A 14398-nucleotide genomic window follows, 5' to 3' on the forward strand; every position below is an offset into this window, starting at 1 on the left:
TAAATTGGAAATAAAAAAAACAAAACCCAAAATAACCTGCTTTGAAGTTAGTTCATTTTTATATTTGTTATGGGTATGTGTTGTGGATCTTCCTTCATAAAATTTCTTTTCACTCGTCTGTTATTGTCTTTTCCAGCATGGCAGCAATTTGATAGGTATGTCTGATCTCAATGTGCCTGAGCAGCTCTATCAGTACATGGTTGGAGGACGTAGGCGCTTTCAAACAGGAATGCATAGGGAGAAACATAAATCACCAAGTTATCAAATCAAAGTAAGTACACAGCAAAGTAATAGATCAAAAGTCTGGAAGCTGGGAAGTTAATTGGAAAATACTAGTGTTCATACTGACATTGGTAAATGTGTTAATTTTAAGCATAGTTATTATTCAGAGGAATTTTATAATAATTTAGAACTCTTTTACATGCATAAACTCTTCTTTCAATAGGAAGGAGATACCATAAATGTGGATGTGACTTGTCCAGGTGCTACTCTAGCTTTGGCTATGATCTACTTAAAAACCAATAACAGGTATTTCTACCCACTCACCCTTCCTCCCGCGGTGATAGTGTGATATCCTCCCTGACCTTGGTTGTAAAATTCAGTTATCTCATGTGTTTCTTTCCCCTGTGCTGGATTAAGCTGATTTTTTGTTCTTTCAAGTACTGTAAGTTTTTGAAAGAAAACTTGCAGTATTTGAAGTTATAAAGATTTTACCTGGAAATAATGTATTTGGCTATTTTAATGGTATTTGACAATATAGTTTTCAATTTCTGTTCATTTCTGTTTTGTAGTTGATGTCAGTAACACCCAAACAATGCCCATGTTTGTTTTCATTAATTTAGCATATTGCTGTGAGGACTGGTTAAGCCAGAAATACTTATCATTTAGTGTGATCTTGGTTACCATGTAAAACAATGGTTTTTGCCTACTTCAGGAGCTTTTGTAATTACCAAACCGTCTACCTTCCTAACTTGCTATATTAATGCTGACGCTTGAAAGTAAGATCTTTGGCATTTATGCTTACACTTTGCATGAGGAATAAGTTGAGTACAAGACGTTATGTCATGTCTTAAGTCTATTAATTAAAAACAAATTCTAAGATTCAAGGAGTTTTCAGTGTTCCACATTTCTCCCTTTAGAAAAAGTAAATGTGTGCAGAATTAACAAAGTGTTTAAAAATAGATATTTATTACTTTACTATTTGGATGAATGTGTAGGGCAGTGCTTCCTTGGCACTGGGGATATTTCATTGAGCAAAACTAAAAATATCTTCCCTCATGGAGTTTATGTTATAGTAAGACATACATGTACATCTATAATAACTATTACATTAGAAGGTGTGAAGTATTGTGAAAAATATGTAGAGCTGTAGTGGAGCGGGAAGAAATGTTTTGAAATAGAGCTTGAGATTCTTGATTGTCTTGCCCTCTACTTGAACAGTGTGCCTTACTGTTTTCCTCCACCACCAGATCTATTGCAGATTGGCTCCGAGCCCCTGACACCATGTATTTGTTGGACTTTGTGAAGCCAGAATTTCTCTTGCTTAGGGTATGCTTTGTCTTCATTTGTGTTAACATGAGAAGTCTATTTGTGGTTCTTAAACTTAGCTTGTAAGCCGGGCACAGTGGCTCACGCCTGTAATCCCAGCACTTCAGAAGGTTGAGGCAGGAGGATTGCTTGAGTCCAGGAGTTTGAGACCAGCCTGGGCAACACAGGCTGTTCTCCATGACTGAATGAATGGCAAACATAAATGTCTTTACAAGAGAGCCTTTTATTTTTAATTTGTCATGCATATCTAATTGGCAGTGTTCATTTGAAATTTCACAAATAGGACTTTGGGAATCCCAAGAAAGGTAACCACGTTGATATTTAATACTTGGAGTGACATTTCACTGTCTCACATTATTATTCAAAACTTCCTAAAAAGCAACAAGTGATTAGGACTTTTTTACTGCTTTGTTTTACATTTTTGGATTACTATCAGGGATGTGATAATACTGTTAAGGTTGAATCTAAAGAAAGTAACAATTCACTTAATTGTCTAAAATTTTCCCTCTAATTCTTTTTTTTCTGATGTTTAAACGTAGCATATAGAAGCTTTTAAATTATGTGTAGATAGAGCTATGATTCTTTCCTTTGTGATTTTTTTCTTTTCCAGAGTACATTTTAAAAAGTACCCGCACAAGCCCTCTAAACTTTGGTGATATTCAACTCAATTTTAGTTTTTCTTTGTTAAAATTTAAATCTTTATTTTAATGAGTAGTTTAATGAGTAAGACGGTTCCCAACTTAGGTTTTTTAACTTAACCATAGTGTGAAAGCGGTACTCATTCAGAAGAAACTACTTCCAATTTTAATTTTAATTTTTTTCTTGTACTCCTGGCAGTATGATGCTCTCATGGTGTTGGGTAATGGCAGCAAGCTGCAGCTCCCAGTCAGCCATGCAGTCATGAGGGTAAATGACCCATACTCTACAGTTTACTATGCTGACAGAGAATTTCACTCAATTATAGGCTAATTTGAGTGTTCGGAGCATGTTTAAGGTAGGCTAGGCCAAGCTGTGTTGTTTGGCAGGCAAGGTGTATTAAATGTATTTTCTTTTTCTTTTTTTTTTTTTATGAGATGGAGTCTCACTCTGTTGCCCAGGCTGGAGTGCAGTGACACCATCTTGGCTCACTGCAACCTTTGCCTCCTGGGTTCAAGCTATTCTTGTTCCTCAGCCTCCTGAGTAGCTAGGACTACAGGCGTGTGTCACCATGCCTGGCTAATTTTTGTATTTTTAGTAGAGATGGGGTTTCACCATGTTGGCCAGGCTGGTCTCAAACTCCTGGCCTTCAGTGATCTGCCCGCCTTGGTCTCCCAAAGTGCTGGGATTATAGACATGAGCCACTGAGCCTGGCCTAAGTGTATTTTCAGCTTAAGGTATTTTCAACTTACAATAGGTTTATCAGTACATAACCTTACTGCATTTGCATATACTTATTTTTCAAAATTCTCAACAGTTGGGAACTGATTCTTAAATTGTTCTGTTTATTATTATCATTGTTATAAAATGTATGAACTTTACTTGCTCTAATTAATTTTATCTCTGTTGCATTTTTAAGACACTTGCTCGATGCCTGATTTTGTGGGATGATATTTTACCAAATTCCAAGTGGGTTGACAGCAATGTTCCTCAAGTAAGTACATATAATAAATATTATATCTTTAGTAGCATAAAATTATGATTTCTTATGGGATTTTTCAAAATTCTGTAAAATATTTTTTCTTATGAAGGCAATATTGATCATTAGGATACCTCTTAAAGACCTAAGAACTTCCATTTTAAGATTCTGTGCTGCACAGACCACCGCCTTCTCTTTTAGCCTCAGGTCCCTAGAAATTGTAGTTTTTAAAAATTAAATATGAATATCGGTGTTGCGTGGGAGTTAAAAAATGAAAGGAAAAAACTAAATATGTTTGCCAGAATACTCTAAAAAAGTGTTGATATTTTTGTCATAATTAAGTGCACATTTCTAAGATGCTATTTTACTTCGTGACAATTTTAGATCTCCTAATAACTCTTTTAATTACTTTATATCATATTTATTCGATAAGCCAAGTATACTAGTTAAAAATGAACAGATTTTTTTGGTAAAAACTGAAAACCGAATATTGTAACTAGCCACTGCCCTTAGACAACTGTCCATGTCTAGTGGTCTCAGTTTCTTTATGTAGATTGTTTCTTTCAGTATTTTCAGAGGAAAAATCTCAAAGATTGAAAGAAGTTAATATGAACACCCACATCACCAATAGACTCTATAATAATATTTTACTGTATAAACATGTTTCATCACTTATCTATCCACTTATCTATTCCTCTATCTAATCCAACATTTTTTGATGAATTTCAATGTTAGTTCCAAACAGTAATACACTCCATCCCAAAATTGTACCATATATATTAACTGGAATTGGTATTTACATTTTTTCCTTTTAAGATAAAATTTATATATCGTGAAATGCACAAATGTTAAGTATCCTATTGGATAAGATTTGACTAACACATAGACCTGTGGAAACCAGCCTCTATCCCTTGTGCCCCTTCCCTCTTTGTGCATTCACCTGTACCCCCAGGTAACCAATATGTATTTTGTTTATCTCCCAAAATATGTTAATTTCCAGATGTAGAACTTTATATTAATGAAGCCACATATGGCATATACCCTTTTGTATAAGACTTCTTTCAGCGTTTTCAAGATATTGAGTATATTAATAGTTCATCCTTTTTATTATTAGGTGGTACAGATTGAGTATTTCTTATCTGAAATGCTTGGGACCAGAAGCGTTTTTGGATTTTGGAATACTCGAAATTATACTTACTGGTTGAGCATCCCTCATCTGAAACTCTGACATCTGAAATACTTCAATGAGCATTTCCTTTGGGCATCATGTTAATGTTCAAAAAGGTTTGGATTTTGAGCATTTTGGATTTTGGATTTTCGGATTAGGGATCCTCAACTTGTGTATTCCATTTGCAATCCTATTAGGTGGGGCTGGAATTACTGAGGCATAGGGTAGATGGTATATTTAGTTTTATTAGAAATGATAAATCTTTTCCCAAAGCGGCTGTACCATTTGACACATTGACCAACAGTGTTTGAGAGTGTTGGCTGTTGCCCATCTAACCGATAATTAATGGTGTTAGTTTTTTAAGTTTTAGTGCTGCTGATGAATACGTAATGATATCTGACTGTTGTTTAAATTTGCATTTCTCTGCTGACTGTTAATGTTGAGAACTTTTTCATTGGTTTATTGGTCCTCCGTCTATCTTTTTTTGTGAAGTGTCTGTGCATGTCTTTTGCTTATTTTTTAAAAAAATTTGTATTTTTATTACTGCGTTGCTGGAGTTTTTTTAATGCATTCTAGAAACCCGTTCTTTGTCAGATTTCTTTTTTTTTTTTTTTGAGATGGAGTCTTGCTCTGTCGCCCAGGCTGGAGTGCAGTGGTGTGATCTCGGCTCACTGCAAGCTCCGCCTCCCAGGTTCACGCCATTCTCCTGCCTCAGCCTCCCGAGTAGCTGGGACTACAGGCACCCGCCACCATGCCCTGCTAATTTTTTGTATTTTTAGTAGAGACGGGGTTTCACTGTGTTAGCCAAGATGGTCTCGATTTCCTGACCTCGTGATCTGCCCGCCTCGGCCTCCCGAAGTGCTGGGATTACAGGCGTGAGCCACCACGCCTGGCCTGTCAGATTTCTTTTGCAAATATCCCTCCCAATCTGTGGCTTGCATATTCATTTTCTTAGTAATAATTTTAATGAGCAGAAGATATTAGAATGTTAAATAATGTCTGATTTGTCAGTTTTTTCTTATGGTTATTCTCTATTCCTATGAAAAAAACCATTTGTCTAACCCCATCATGAAGATAATCTTTTCTGCTTTTCTCTAAAAGCTTCCAAAGTTTTAGTTTTGTGTATACTTACATAATTCATTTCAAAGTAATTTTGTATATGATATGAGGTACATGTTGAGGTTGTCTACCAGGGAAGCTCATCAGAGACTCAGCACCCAAGTTTTTAATTGGGAGCTGACATGTAGGTAAGGTACTCTCTGCCTTGTATGTACCCAAGTTCCAGATTCTCAGGAGAATGTGTGTTAGCCTAAACCACGCTGTTTGTAGTTCAAGCACGGTAAACACAGATATATACATTTTGTTTTAAAGCAACCGGTTAATTTACTTGGAATCAGATTGTCATTCTTTCTTGGTTGCTAGCTCTAATCTTGGTGCACGTCTTTATCCTGTGGGCTGTTGGAGTCTGCCCTGTGCACACATGGTTCATGGATCAGGCAGACATTTGCACAGAATTTATATACAGAGCTTGGGGCCCTGTCTCTGTGGCTCTCTCCTTTGTCATATTCTGTCCTCACCTCCCAATGGGTGTGGTATTTTCCTGTATCCTGGTTGTTAAGGCCAAGAAGGTTATGAGCTTTTAATTGTAGCTTTTGCCATCTTTCTTGGCGCAGATAGACCTGCTTTCAGAGCAGAAACCGCAGAAAGGAAAATGTATCTAGTGGTGTTCCTCTCTTCCATGGATCGACTCTCCCCTCTAGAATCTGCTTGCGTTTGTCCTCACTCCAGTGTCTTGAGGTCAGGAGTTGGTGAATTAAGCCCACCTGATTTTTAGAAAGAAAATTTTATTGGAATATGGCCATGCCCATTTGTTTACTTATTGTCTGTAGCTGTTTTTTGTTACAAATGCATAGATCAGTAGTTGCTGGTATTTACTATTTGACCCTTTTAGAAATAGTTTACCGACCCCTGCCATAGATAGTTTGGATTTTATATTTTGTCTAGGGTTTACACTTGGTGTATGAGTTGATCTGATAGGAATTTATTCATCTATTATTTGAGGAAGTAGAACTCCTAGGTTTGTTTTTATTTGTTTAGTTCTTCCAGTTTTGTTAATCACTGATATGAAAGAGGTGAGGAAGAATTGTTTTAAATGACTCGCTCATTTGTTACCATAATTTTAACTCTAGCATATTCAGATGTCAGAGATTTTAGTTTTTTTGAAAGTGCTCTTTGAAATGTATATTGTAGGATGAAATACTTTTTCTTTCACTCCTTCATTCAGCACATACTCATGAATCCTCTGTAAATGCAAGGCACGTGCTAAACTCTGTAATACATTAAAGATACATCAGACATATAGAGTGTTCTCAAAAAACTTTAGTTTATTAAATGCACTAAGTTCAGCTTACTGAGATTAAACATGTGTACAAGTAACTGTAATTCCAAAGTGGAAAGTATAAATTCATGTCAGAGAGTGGTCTTTTTTGCGGCCTGGTGTGGTGACTCGTGCCTGTAATCCCAGCACTTTGGGAAGCCAAGGTGGGCACATCACTCGAGGTCAGAGTTCGAGACCAGCCTGGCCAGTGTGGTGAAACCCTGTCTCTACAAAAAACAAACGAACAAACAAAAAAACACAAAAAACAGTGGTCGTTTTTTGTTTTTATGAAAATATGGTTTTTGGACTTTTAGTATAGAATAACATCTCTCTCTTTTTTACTTCAGACTTTATAATGTTATATTTGGTCTTTATTACATCAGGGATACTGCAAATAGGAGAGATAACAATTTCACAGTTCTCCTGATTGATATTTCCTATCAGCTTCCACTTTTCTCTGGGTTCTCATCTGGAGCTACATTGATTCTGGAGCAGGGTTCCTTGTAGTGAGCAACCTAGCGTTAAAAGGAGGATTTTTTTTTTTAAAGGTCACTTTGTAAACTGCTTGTCTGTTTGAACTTAGGGCATATGTAAAATAACAACTAGCATCTTCATAGTACTTTTTCTTTCATAAAAAGCTTTACATACAGGGTGCGGTTACTCACGCCTATAATCCTAGCGCTTTGGGAGGCCAAGGAGGGTGGATTGCTTAAGCCCAGGAGTTCAACACCAGCCTGGGCATCATAGTGAGATCCCATCTCTACAGAAAAATACAAAAATTAGCCAAGCATGGTGGTGTGCACCTGTAGTCCTAGCCACTTGGGAAGCTGAGATGGGAGGATTGCTTGAGTCCGGGAGGTAGGGCTGCAATGAGCCGTGATCGCACCACTGCACTCCAACCTGGGTGACAGAGGGAGACCCTGTCTCAAGGCAAAAAAAAAGAAGAAAGATATTTTAAGTCTTTGATTTGGTGATATTCAGTACATAAGAAGACTGTATTATAAGTGCCTTCTAATATTTATTTATTTTATTTTATTTTATTTTTGAGACTGAGACAGGGTTTTGCCCTGTTGCCCAGGCTGGAGTGCAGTGGTGCGATCTTGGCTCACTGCAACCTCCACTTAGCAGGCTCAAGTGATTCTCGTGCCTCAGCCTCCTGAGTAGCTGGGATTACAGGCCCAGCTAATTTTTTGTTTTTCAGTAGATACGGGTTTCACCATGTTGGCCAGGCTGGTCTCGAACTCCAGGCTTCAAGTGATCCGCCTGCCTTGGCCTCCCAAAGTGCTGGGATTACAGGCGTGTAAGCCACTGTGTTCGGCCAATATTTATTGTTTTATTGAAGAAAACATCCTGAAATGTTAAGAAATCTTCTAAGAAATCTTCTCAGAAGATTAAAAGAATAAATCTTAAATACATTCATATGTTTAGCAAACATTAGCTTTATCTTTTTTGGCTTTTTTCTTTTAGGAGAAAAGGATCAAATGTCTTCTTGGTTGTTACAGCTAGATATTCTGTGTATGTTTTTCGGTAAATTGTTCATTACCTATACTAAAAGGAAAAGGATGTCTTTTCTAAACAATAGTTGTAACATAGCTGATAAACATATTGACAGTTTAGCTTATCTTAGCCTAGTGAATAACCTCACCTGTGGTAGGTATGTTGGATTAATGCTGGAAACATCCCGTAAAGAAGAAGTCTGATTAGAGTTGTCTCCTATTTCTCTTTTCCCACTTCTTCCCCTCACCCCTGCCCCAATTCTAAAGCCATCATCTTTGTATTTCAGTTGACTGGTATGCAATATTATGACCCTGTTACTGATTTAGAATATACTTACGTCTTCCTGTTTATATTTGTTCAGCCCTATTTAATTATTATTATTATTATTTTTTTTTTTTGAGATGGAGTCTCACTCTATCACCCAGGCTGGAGTGCAGTGGCGTGATCTTGGCTCACTGCATCCTGCACCTCCCAGATTCAAGTGATTCTACTGCCTCAGCCTCCTAAGTAGCTGGGATTACAGGCGTGCGCCACCACGCCCAGCTAATTTTTGTACTTTTAATAGAGATGGGGTTTCACCATGTTGGTCAGGCTGGTCTCGAACTCCTGACCTCGTGATCCACCTGCCTTGGCCTTCCAAAGTGCTGGGATTACAGTCGTGAGCCACCATGCCTGCCCTTAATTATTATTCTTACTTAGCCCATCTTAGATTTGAAATTTGATTACATTCAATGAGATTAAAATATAGGCTTTTGAGTGAAACGGTTTGGTAAAGCTTACTTTGTATAAATATAGCCATGATAAGCAGTATGTTATTCTTCAGATTATTAAATATTTGTAATGAGAACATTGATATCTAAGTATTCTTGCTTTCTATATTGACAGATTATAAGAGAAAATAGTATCTCTCTCAGTGAAATCGAATTGCCGTGCTCAGAGGATTTGAATTTGGAAACTTTGTCGTAAGTGATGTATAATGCAAATTAGCTATCCTAGCGTCTATCAGATAATTAAATTGAAATATACCATGTGGGAGTAATATTGTCCTTGATTTAAGTAATTATGAATCCCACATGTTTCTAACCATTATTTATCAGATGTTCATGACGTTGGTTAAAGCTCTCTGAAGTACAGAGCTCTTGCCCTCAAAAAGCAATATTGGAGATTTAACTTGTATGTATTTGTTTTTTATCCTTTCCATTAAAGAAATTGGCAACAATTTTAAAAATTGTTTTTGCTGCATATGAAACTGTAGGCAAGGGGCAAACTTCATGAGTAAGGTGACCCGATGCTTCTGCTGAAAAAAAAAATACATAGAAATCTGCTGACTGAGGGCACTTCATCATTCCCAGAAAGATATAAACTAGCTTAGAGAACTGGAATATTTATTGTTACTTATTTCAAGTTAATTTTAAAGTAAAATAATGATTATTAAATTTCTTGTCACCTGTTTTCAGCCAAGCACATGTCTACATAATTGCAGGAGCCTGTTTGTCTCTGGGTTTTTGATTTGCTGGCTCAGAAAACTTACCAGCATTTAACTGTTTGGTAAGAAGTATTTTAGTTTACTGTGTTCTTTTTTTTTGTTTGTTTTAACAAAGCTTTAAGATGCTTCTTATAACTTGGAATTTTTTCTTTTGTTTTTCTAGCATAAATTTGCCAAAGATTTTATGACTTATTTGTCTGCACCTAATGCTTCTGTTGTAAGTCTTTTTATCATTCTCCTTGGGAATAAAATTAAACTTGAAAAAAATTTACTGATGATCCAGTTACTTATGTGTTATCAGATATCTCTGCTGTTTTTTTAAATGTAGAATGAGAGATCTGAAGAACCATTAGCTCATCTTTTTATTTTTGTTTTGCGATATTAACTTAGGTGAGAATATGATTACCCTGGAAGGATGCACAGGTATCTAGTTCTTGTGACAAGAGAATAAAAAAGGCCATAATATTCACGGGTTGTCATACCTCATGTAATTCTGTCTCAGTATTAAATATTGGGAATTTCCTTTTTAAAAAATATTAGTACTTAGTAAGGATTCAGTTGCTTTTGAGGCATTGCTTCTCTGATGACAAGACTGAGAGATTTTATTTCCTGGTAAAAGCTACATGGATTTATGCAACACTATTTATAATATGGAAAAGTTAGAAACATCAAAAAAGTCTAAAAGTAGTTAATTAAATTTGATTATGGTTTATTTATATATTCTTACACAGTGGAGCTACCAAAATCACGTTATACAAGAATTTTTTGTGGCTGGGTGCAGTGGCTCATGCCTATAATCCTAGCAACTTTGGGAGACCGAAGCAGGAGGATCATTTGAGCCCAGGAGGTTGAGATCAGCCTGGGCAACATAGGGAGACCCCATCTCTACAAAAAATAAAAAATTAGCCAGGTGTGGTGACACACACATGTAGTCCCAGCAACTTGGGAGGCTGAGGTGGGTGGATCCTTTGACCCCAGGAGGTTGAGGCTGTTGCATCACTGCACTTCAGCCTGGGTGACAGAGTGAGAGACCCTGTCTCCAAAAACAACAACAACAACAAAAAAGAAACAACTTTTTTTTGTGAGTGAAGCTTGCTTGTAATAGGTCATTTAAAAGGTTAAAAATATTGTGTAGAGTAACATCTCCATTTCATTTGGAAAAAATATGTGTAGGTAAAGGAAAAATTCAGAGAAAAAGCCAAAACGTTAACACCAGTTATCTTTGGGTGTGACATTCCAAGTGATTGTTATGTCTTGATATTCAATATTTGAAATTATTTCTGTTGAACTTATATTTCATAATCAGGGAAAATATTTGTATTTACAGATTTTTTTTTTTCTCTGAGACAGCGTCTCGCTCTGTCTCCCAGGCTGGAGTGCAGTGGCGCGATCTCGGCTCACTGCGAGCTCCGCACCCCGGGTTCACGCCATTCTCCTGCCTCAGCCTCCCGAGCAGCTGGGACCACAGGCGCCCGCCACCACGCCCGGCTAACTTTTTGTGTTTTTTAGTAGAGACGGGGTTTCACCATGTTAGCCGGGATGGTCTCGATCTCCTGACCTCGTGATCCGCCCGCCTTGGCCTCCCAAAGTGCTGGGATTACAGGCGTGAGCCACAGTGCCCAGCCCAGATTTTTTTTTAAGTTACAAACTTTTGTAGTCTTCTAATGATGGCTAAGCTAGTTCTGATAATAAAGAAATGTAACACAACAGTTATAGTGATGTCATCTCTTCACCTGACAGACAGGTCCTCATAACCTAGAAACTTGTCTGAGCGTGGTGCTGCTGTCTCTCCCCATGGTCATGGCTGGCTCAGGAAACCTAAAGGTTTTGCAGCTTTGTCGCTTCTTACACATGAAAACGGGTGGTGAAATGAACTATGGTTTTCACTTAGCCCACCACATGGCCCTTGGACTTCTATTTTTGGGAGGAGGAAGGTAAGTGAATATGTATTTTTCCAATGAAAAGATCTCATTGGTGAGATCTATAAGGGTGACTTACGTTGATCTTGAAGATAACATGAAAAATTTAAATTCTGACTAGCTCTTAGCTTAACTAGCAGCATTATTCGACTTGATGGGCTTCTTTGTAGTTTAACCGTCAACTTATGGTCTACTCAGTAGAATTACCATCCTCTCTGACACACTGAGCATCACTGTATTTCTCAGAATAGTCTGTGCTCTGTTCTTCAGTGCATTACTGCTTGTGCCCACCTGGTTAAAAATTTTACCATTCTACTAAGCTACTTTCTCAGAAAGGTCACAAACAAAATCGTTTACCAGATCCTGTGACATTTTCTTAGTTTTCAGCTTTCTTGATCTTTTTCCAACATGTGCCATTCCTGACTACATCCTTTATAAGACTGCCCTGGCTTTAGATGAACCAAAAACCATGTACAGAAAAGTGTATAAATCATAGGTGCACAGGTCAAAGAGCTATCTACCACAGAAAAATCTCTTTGTTATCATGTAGATCAAGATTCTGTATAGCACTTTCAACTCACAGCACCCGTCTCTGCTTCTGCCATGCACCCCTCTCAATCACTATTATCTTCCTTTCCCCAAAGATAGCCCTATCTAGTCTTCTAACACCTTACGTTGATTTTGCCTGTTTTTGACATTTAAATTGAATTATACACGATGTATCCTTTTGCACTTTACTTTTGCTCAACATTATGTTTGTAAGATTCATGTTGTATGTAGCAATGGATTATTCAAGTTTCAGTGTTGTATTACACTTTCATTGTATGACTGTACCACATTTTATTGATCTCCCCCATTGATGGATATGCTTCTTGCTTCTAGTTTGGGGCTGTTATGAACAGTGCTGTTAGGGAAAGTTGTACATGTCTTCGATTTTGTTGTATATAGAACTGTGTGGAATTGGGTCATAGGTTGTACGTGTGTATTCACTTTCAGTGAATAATACCATCAGTGCTGCAGTGCACTTGTACCATTTTACATACTCATGGGCAGGATGTGAAGTTCCAGTTGTTCCATATCCTTGTCAACCCTTGTTATTGGTATAGTCTTTTTAGTAGTCTTTTTAGTTTTAGCCAACTAGTAGGTATATAACAGGATCTCATTGTGGCTTTAATTTCTGTATTTCTGAATAATGTTCTTGAGTACCATTTTACACTTTTAATAGCCAACTGCAAAACCTCTTTTGTGATGTCCAAATCTCTTGCTACCCAGTTTTTGTATTTATCTATGTTAAAATTTTTATTTGTGGTAAAATACACATAACGTAAAACTTATCAATTTTTAGGTATGCAATTAAGTAGTGTTAATTATATTCACACTGCCGTGCAACCAATCTCCAGAAATTTTTCATCTTGCAAAACTGACATTCTATAGCCATTGAACAACTCCCTGTTTGCCCCTCCCACCAGCCTCTGGCAGCCGCCATTCTACTTTCTGTTTTGATGAGGTTGACTGCTCCACATTGGTTTAGCTTTGTATTGATTTCTGTGGATTCTTTAAACTATGTCCTAAGCCCTTGGTCAGCTTTGTTTGTTGCAGCTATCTTTGCCACCCTAGGGCTTGTTTGCCTTTTCACTCTCTCTCAGTGGTGTCTTTTGATGACACAATTATTAATGTTCTTCTTTTATAGTTTTTACTTCTTTGTGTTGTTTATGAAATATTTTCTTACCCAGAGAAAAGGAGATATTCTCCTATCTTATCTTCTAGAAGTTTTTAGCTTTTCCATTCACATTTGAATCTAAAATCTACCTGGCACGGATTTTTCTCCATGTTTTTTTCCCGCTGCTATTGAAAAGTTTCTCCTTCTCCACTACTCTGCAGTACCACATCTATTATATAAGTTAAGTGCCTATACACCTGTGTTTATTTCTGGGCTATTAGGTTTTGCTGGTCTGTTTTTCTGTACTTGCACCAATACTCCATTGTCTTATGAGTCTTGGTATCCAGTTGAGTAAATCCTTCAAACTCGGTTTTCTTCTTCAAAAGTGTGTTTTTCTCTTGGCTCCTTGCATTTTCATATAAATATTGGAATCTGTTCCATACTAAATAATCTGATAAAATATTGATCAGAATTGCCTTGATTGTATGTGTCTGTGTTAAGGAGATTAGAATCTGTTACAGTATTGTCTTCCATTCTGTGAATATGGTATACCCCTGTATATATTTAGCTGTAGTGTGTGTGACCTTGATCAATGGCTACAGTGTCTGTGTAGGCTAATTTTCCCCTCTTCTTTAAGGCTGAGCTTACCATTGGAACTCACCTTTTCAGAAGTACAAAAAGTAAAGTTGATCAGAAAGGTGTGTATTTCCTCTCAACATGTTTTGTGGAATTGTCTTTCTTTAATTGTTTAGAATTAATAATGGTCAAAGAAATATTACTATGAAAATTCTTATTTATTTTATTCTATGATTTTTGAAAATTTTTTCCTTTCAAAATGAGCCTCTCCGTGTCTCTTAATCCCATCTTTCATTGTTCCAAACTGTATGACTCTCCTCGCTCTTCTTTCATATCGAATTGATTTTTCTACCATTCTGCTACTGCTTTTCTAGTGATTTTTGGTTTTTAAATGGTCATGTATACTCTGTAACAACATTTAAACTTAGCATAGCTACACCATTATGTTTCTACCCAAAATTTCTAACATTAGTATCTTAATATTTATCTTTGAATTTTGGTTTATCAAAAGGGTACAAAGAAAATGGCTTATTCCATGCACATGCCAAAATA

The 14398-nt window shown here is 36.9% G+C and overlaps 1 pseudogene across 1 annotated transcript in view; it reads left to right on the plus strand.

Annotated features, from left to right (window-relative positions):
- The window catches only part of LOC102724642 (anaphase-promoting complex subunit 1-like), a 71644-nt pseudogene that overhangs the window by 36265 nt on the left and 20981 nt on the right, over positions 1-14398 (plus strand). The window contains exons 14-21 of the transcript NR_171620.1: positions 137-271; positions 446-528; positions 1470-1548; positions 3104-3178; positions 9091-9167; positions 9663-9753; positions 9855-9908; positions 11432-11625. The product of NR_171620.1 is annotated as an anaphase-promoting complex subunit 1-like (transcript). The remainder of the gene's footprint in view (positions 1-136; positions 272-445; positions 529-1469; positions 1549-3103; positions 3179-9090; positions 9168-9662; positions 9754-9854; positions 9909-11431; positions 11626-14398) is intronic.

This window comes from Homo sapiens, chromosome 2, assembly GCF_000001405.40.
Source record: "Homo sapiens chromosome 2, GRCh38.p14 Primary Assembly".
NCBI classification, from domain to species: Eukaryota; Metazoa; Chordata; class Mammalia; order Primates; family Hominidae; genus Homo; species Homo sapiens.